This window comes from Homo sapiens, chromosome 15, assembly GCF_000001405.40.
Source record: "Homo sapiens chromosome 15, GRCh38.p14 Primary Assembly".
Taxonomy (NCBI): domain Eukaryota; kingdom Metazoa; phylum Chordata; class Mammalia; order Primates; family Hominidae; genus Homo; species Homo sapiens.
Window position 1 is genome coordinate 56,598,479 of NC_000015.10, and position 7,533 is coordinate 56,606,011.

The window sequence follows — 7,533 nt, forward strand, 5'->3', positions numbered from 1 at the left end:
GTAAGCAAAATTTTTCCAAATTTAGACTTTGGTTTCAACTGCCTGTGAAAGAACATTCATCTCGGACCCCAGCATTAGATGTTTTTGAGTTAACCTATCTAAGGCTTACTTTCTTCATCCCTAAATCATTACAATAGTTTTTCCAAACAAAATTGAGAGATAATACACACAAAATTCTTAGTATAGTTCTTGGTACATAATAAATAGGTTGTGAATATTATATGAGTCTTCTGTCTTCTAATATCTGACAAAATATTTTTTTGGAATCCTCCAAAACAAACAATAATTTGTTTATTGAATGACTAAATGAATTAAATATTAGGTACATAACATACTATGAAGTAAAGACAGTGGGATAAGTTCCAAAATTGCCCTGTGCGAAGAACATTTTTTTTAATTAATTTTTTTGGAGATGGAGTTTAGCTTTTGTTGCCCAGGCTGGAGTGCAATGGCAAAATCTCAGCTCACTGCAACCTTCAGCTCCCAGGTTCAAGTGATTCTCCTGCCTCAGCCTGCTGAGTAGCTGGGATTACAGGCATGCACCACCACACCCGGCTAATTTTTGTATTTTTAGTAAAGATGGGGCTTTACCATGTTGGCCAGGCCGTTCTCGAACTCCTGACCTCAGATGATCCACCCGCCTCAGCCTCCCAAAATGCTATGATTACAGGCCTGAGCCACAGCGCTGGCCAATTTTTAAAAACTCTTTTTAAAATGAAGGATTAGGTTACATGAGAAAAATTGTTATGACTAATACTCTAGTCATCAGATGATTATTTCAGCAATTATATATAAAAGCCATAGAAGAATTTGATTGAGGCACATTAACATCTGTCTGTTGGATTCTATTACTGAATTTGAAATACTAACTTAAAAAATGTATATTCATAGTTTTTATTGACCTAAACTGGCCACATTTAAACTGCTGATGGTTCCTATATTTATCAGATAAAGGATGGAAAAACATCTCACTGTGAAATGTGTCATCCTCCAGGAGTTTCATCAATTGTTTTGCCCACCAGCTACAATAAAGCTAACGCATTTACTAATGTAAAATAGCACACTGGTTTTGTTGAGGTTTATTTACTATTCTAATGATTATTTCAGTGGAGCCAGGGCTCTAAATGACAGCCACATGGATAATTGCATTGTAATGTGTTTTCTTTTCAATTTAATCAGGTTTAATTTTGTATCTAATAGAACTAGTGCCTTTAAAATGTTGTGGTTGGTATAATATGAATGAAAAATGCATAATTTATTTGTAAAATGTTTGAACATCTTAGTTCTAGTACCATCTACTGTGTTCTTTTCAAAGTACTGCTTAATAGCAATAAGAACAAGTCATTGCTCATTTTATAAATTGTTTCATATTTGAGAATTTGTATTCTAGATTTATTATAAATTCTACTAACTAGGAAAGGTAAGATTGTTAGCTCTCTTTTCTGTAAACCTTGAGCTTTGTGATTGCTATCCTTTTGAAATGGAACTTGATACCTACAAGGGCCACTTACTGAAACTTTTGCTGTCACAGATTTGTCAATTTAAATCTAAAGCACTGTGTAGTAGGCTGTTTTCATTGCTGTAAAGGAATACCTAAGAGGGGGTAATTTATAAAGAAAAGTTTATTTTGACTCATGATTCTGTAGGCTGTACAGGAAGTGTGGTGCTGGTGGCTGTTTCTGTTGAAGGCCTCACGAAGCTTACAATCATGCTGGAAGGTAAAGAGCGAGGTGTATCACATGACCAGAAAGAACAGGAAAGAGAAGAGGGAGGTCTTAGATTCTTTTAAACAGCCAGATTCCATGTGAACTAACAGAGTAAGAATGCACTCATTACCACGGGGGAGGACATCAAGCCCTTCATGAGGAATTCTCCCCCATGACCCAAACACCTCCTACTAGGACCCACCTTTAACATTGGGGATCACAATTCAACATGATATTTGGAGGGACAAACATCCAAACTATATCACACTGTCACTTGCCTCTTTATTCTCTTCATGGTATATTTTGATAACTGGATCTTATAATATAGTAAAATTTATCAATTTTCTTTTATATATAATTTCTTATATATAATCGATAATTTATCAATTATATATAAAATTGATAATTTATCAGTTATCAATTATGGTTAATACTTTTTGTATTCTGTTCAAGAAACTTTTCTATATTTCAAAGTCATAAAGACATTCTTTTTATATTATCTGTCAAAGTTTTATTATTTAGTTTTTCACACATAGATTTATAATCCACCCTGAATTGTTTTCATGATGATGTGAGGTAGGGTAAAGTTTATGTTTTTTCATCTGAATAGACTTTTCTTTCCTCTCTAAACTGCAGTACCACCTTTTACTAAATCCAGGTTCATCCATCTATGCATGTTTTTGCTCTGGGCTTCCTATTCTAATTCAATGGTCTGTTTAAGAATTCAGCAAGCCTTTTTTGTAAAGGCTTTTTTATGGGTCAAGAGGTGTGATAGTGGCTAGGTGTGGTGACTCACACCTATAATCCCACACTTTGGGAGGCCAAGATGGGAGGATCACTTGAAGCCAGGAGTTCAAGACCAGCCTGGGCAACAAAGTGAGACCCCCCCAATCTCTACAAAACATAGAAACAATTGCATGTGCCTGTAGTCCCAGCTACTCAGGAGGCTGAGGTGAGAAGGATCACTTAAGCCCAAGAGTTCAAGGCTGCAGCGAGCTATGACCGCACCACTGGACTGAAGTCTCAGTGACAGACAGAGACCTTGTCTCTTAATAAAAAGTTGTGATAGTAAATATTTTGGACTCTGTGGGCCAACAGGCAAAATTGAAGATACTGTACAGATTTTTATGTAACAAGAGGGAAAACAAATTTCCACAAATTTTTAATTGATGAAAATCAAAATATAATAAAAATTGAGTACAAATTTTTGTTATAGTTGTCTACTAGTGAGAAGAACTGAACTTTTTTTTTTAATGGCAGGGATAATATTTTTGCTAAATTGGGATTCATAGTTAGTGTTCCCTATCATAAAAATCATTTGCAACTGTTTATATGTTAATGCTAATTTGTGATGAGCTTTTATGTATTTCATCATTAAAAATATCTTTTTATACACAGTAACTACTATAAAATACTAATATTGAGCCACTCATGTGACTTTTATTGAACATACTCATCATTTGGAAGGCATTTACAGAATCTCATTTTAGCATGTCATTACATTGCAGGTTAATCACTTTCTAGTTAAACGGTTAGGTGGAAGCTCCTCAATTTCACCGTTAAATTAATTTCAAAATATGGAAATTCCCTTTGCACTTGCATCAAAGTCCCAAAAACTCTACTGGAAAGGCAGTTTGAGCTTGGAAAATATATCTACTGCAAATGGTATAGTATTGAAGATCTTGTTTCTTGTTTCAATTTTTGCTAGCATGGGAAGTATATAAAGCTACTTGTCATTTTTTATGATTTAAAAATTAATTGTCAAAATGACTTTAATTCAGTATAAGTTTCACATCCTAAGCATTGTTTTGCTTTGTAATTTTGGGTTGAATTTATTAAACAACTATCAAGTTTGCTGCAAAAGGTAATTTCTAAAGCCATTCAGTGTTTGATATACTGGTTGAGGTGGTTCTTATTGTTCAGAAAAATTGCAATCTCAGCCCTGAGCTCAAAAATCACAGTAAAACTTTACCACTGCTAAGCCATAAAACTACTGTTTGATGGGGAAAATCTAAGTATTCAACTTATACTTCAGACAAAAATTCTTGGAAGTAATGAAGTCCACAAGAGCAAATGAAGTTCATTGTTGTTCTACCGGTTCAATATCACATGATAGATTCAAATATTTTCCTCAAAATACCTACGGATGAGTAATACAATGAAAAACCAAGGCTTTAATCAACTTACACTTTCACAACCTTTATAAATTTGTCAACCAAAGCCTTTGCCTGCTCCAGATGTTTTTACCACCATCCATTATAACACATCTTAGTAGATTCCACTTCAGATTTTACTGAATTAATGTTTTCCCAACTTCTGTGAAAATAAATCTCACCTGTAGTTTCTCTATATAAAGAGTCTAATACTTATTTCACCTCAAATTTGGCATTGTCTTTAGGAATAAACAAATGATCAGCAGCAATATGATCTGTGGACTCATCCAGTCAAGGAAAACAACTTGAAATCATTTGCCCTTATTCTTTAGTTTGTTACTGATGTTTCTTCTCTTCAAGTAACTGTTCTCACCATAAGCCTAATAGTCATAAATAATTTTCTCTAGACACATTTTTTTCTCTCTTGCAATCAAACAATCTAATTAACCTACCAGTGGTAAATGGCTTTCTTCATGTGACTAACAAACGAGCCACTTGGAAACTCACTTTGGTTACAGTCTCCTTCACTGTTTCTTTGTAAATAAGTTATGTTATAATAAAATATTGTTTTAAATTTTTTAATTTTTCTGACCATTGTATTCCTGAGAGTTGGGAATATCATGATAAGTGTTTAGTCCAGCAAGCAGATGTATACTACATTCTTATAGCACAACTCTAATGTTATTCCATGATAAATACAACACTTTGCCATCTAATTTGACAGCAAAATAATCCACACTTCACTGCGTCTTTAAAACATGACATTTAGAGTCTACTATTCCCTTCCTTTGTTTTGACATGATTGGTAAGACTAGTAACAAAAAAAAATATTGTGGTATGGTGGTACACTTGGAATTCTATCCCGTTATACCTACATTACTGTGACTTATAGTGCACTCAGCAGCAGTGTGAATTAATAAGAGTGACACATATGATTTCTGTTGCAACTACTCAACTCTACCATTGTAGTGTAAAAGCAGCCATAGGCAATATGTGAGCAAATGAGCATAGTTGTATGCTAATACATTTGCATTCATCACTGAAATTTAAATTTTATGTAATTTTCAGGTGTCATAAGATATACTGTTTTTTCTGAACCATTAAAAAATGTAAAAACTCCTCTTAGCTTGCAGGCTGTACAAAAACAGGCAGCATATAGATTTGGTCCATGGGCCACAGTTTCCCAGCTCCTAAAAATGCTAATCGTCCAGAATAGTATTTATCAAAATTTGTTTTGAGGAGCTCTACTCTTGAGAAATCTTTCTCAAAAATAAAAAGTCAAATAACCTTATAGGAAGCCATATACTATACATCCCACTTGTAGATTCATGCTGAGAAATTCTGAAATACAGAAACTCACCTATTGTTGCCTAATCCAGATGTAATGATATTTATTTATTTTCCAGGTAATTCTTATTTACACAGAATTTCTGTTTGCATGCCTTAGAACCAAGGTGTGGTACATACTTCAAGAAGAGTTGATATGGTCCAGTAATACTTACTTGACACATTAGTGAAGTGAAGTAACAAAGTTCTGAGAATAAAAAAGTTTTTATTTTTCTAGAAAAGCACTGCCCATAAATTGGCTTTAATAATAATAACCAAAACCAAGTTTTAAACCCATGCTGCTTCATCTTCCTCATCCTGAAAACACTTTTGGCATTTAGGATAAGATAGTGTGTTTAACTACTACAGGAGTTTAATTGTTGGTTGAATCCAGCAATAAATTCATATCTTTTTATTTATTGATGTTGTAATCTGGAAGTAGGTTTAGAAGCCTTGTGTTTAGTCTGAAAATAATGTTTTAGTGGTAAAGGTTCCCACCATCTATCCTAGGAAAGGACTGATTGTTTTCTGCTAGTGGCATCAGGTAGCCTCGAGAATTAGGTTTTAAATTTATCCTAATGTATCAATAATAACTTGGCATCAGTAACCATGCTTCTGAAAGCCACAACATTCATCATCAAGCTGCTACTTTCAGCCTATCCTATTGCCTTTCTCAAGTTAAGTTATTCAATCGGCCCTTCATTGAATGCCTATTATGTGTTAGGATGTTCTAGGTCAATAGCTGTCCTAGTTTTAACCCTTAAAGGCTTAAAATTGGGAAGCCTGGATCCTAACCACAGCAATTCCTCTTTCTAGACTATAGCAAGAGCACTGGGTTTATTTTTATATAGCTTCACTCTTTCTTACACGCAAAAATTAAAACCAGGGTCTTGAAGAGATATTTGTACACTCAAGTTCACAGCAGCATCATTCACAATAGCTAAAATATGGAAACAACCCAAGTGTCCATCAACAGATGAATGGATATACAAAACGGAGTATTATTCAGCTTTGAAAAGGAAGTACATTCTGACATATACTACAACATGAATAAACCTTGAGGACATTATGCTAAGTGAAATAAGCCAGTCACAAAAAAGACAAATACTACATTATTCCACTTTTATGAGGTATTAGAATAGTCAAAATTAAACAGGTAGAAAATAGAATTGTGATTGCCAGGGGATAGGGAAAGTGGGCAATGTACAGTAATTACTTAACGGGTATAGAGTCTCACTTTTACTAGATGCAAGAATTCTGGAGATGAACTGTCACAAGAATAGACATATAGATAAATGGAATAGAACTGAGAATCCAGAAATAAACCTATAGGTATGGCAGATTTTTTTCATTTTTTGTTGCTATATATATGTAAGATAAAATTTACTCTTAACCATTTTCAGTGTACAATTCAGTGGTATTAAGTACATTCATATGTCTATTCTTGTGCCAGCACCACACTGTTTTGATTACTGTAGCTTTATAGTAAGTTTTGAAATCAAGAAGTGTTTGCCCTCCAACTTTGTTATTCTGTTTTGGCTATTTGGGGCCCCTTACAATTCTATAAAGGTTTGAATATTGGCTTTTCCATTCCTGAGAAAAGAAAGGCTATTGGAGTTTTGACAGGGATAGCATTGAATCTGTAGACTGCTTTGGGTATTGCCATCTTAACAATAGTAAGTCTTCTAATCCATGGACTCGGTATGTCTTACCATTTAATTCGTTCCTCTTTAACTTCTGCCAGCAATTTTTTGTAGTTTTCAGTGTCCAGGTCTTTCACCTCTTGGTTAAATTTATTCCCAGGTATTTTATTCTCAGATCTATTGTAAGTAGATTGTTTGTTGTATTAGTCTCTTTTCACGTTGCTATAAAGAACTACCTGAGAATAGGTAATTTACAAAGAAAAGAGGTTTAATTGACCACAGTTTCACAGGCTGTACAGAAGCTTGGCTAGGGAGGCCTCAGGAAACTTACAATGGTGGTGGAAGGTGAAGGGGAAGGACGAACATCCTACATGCCTGGAACAGGAAGAAGAGCACAAGCAGATGGAGGTGCTACACACTTTTAAACAATCAGATCTTGTGAGAACTCTATCATGAGACAGCACTGCGGGAATGATGCTAAACCATTAGAAACCATCCCCATGATCCAAACACCTCCCACCAGGCCCCACCTCCAACATTTGGCATTACAATTCAACATGAGATTTGGGTGGGCACACAGAGCCAAACCATATCAATTATTTTCTTGGTTTCCTTTTTGGGTTATTCATTGGTGGTATACAGAAACTCAAATGATTTTTGCACGTTGATCTTGTATCTTACAAATTACGGAATTTATTAGCTCTA

The 7,533-nt window shown here is 34.5% G+C and overlaps 1 long non-coding RNA gene across 2 annotated transcripts in view; it reads right to left on the reverse strand.

Moving 5' to 3' along the window:
• LOC105370832 (uncharacterized) overlaps positions 1 to 7,118 on the reverse strand; it is a 126,090-nt gene extending 118,972 nt beyond the window's left edge. For both annotated transcript variants that reach the window (XR_007064652.1, XR_002957754.1), the window contains exon 1: positions 6,898 to 7,118. This is a non-coding gene — a long non-coding RNA (uncharacterized LOC105370832). The remainder of the gene's footprint in view (positions 1 to 6,897) is intronic.
• Between the last annotated feature and the right edge of the window lie 415 nt (positions 7,119 to 7,533).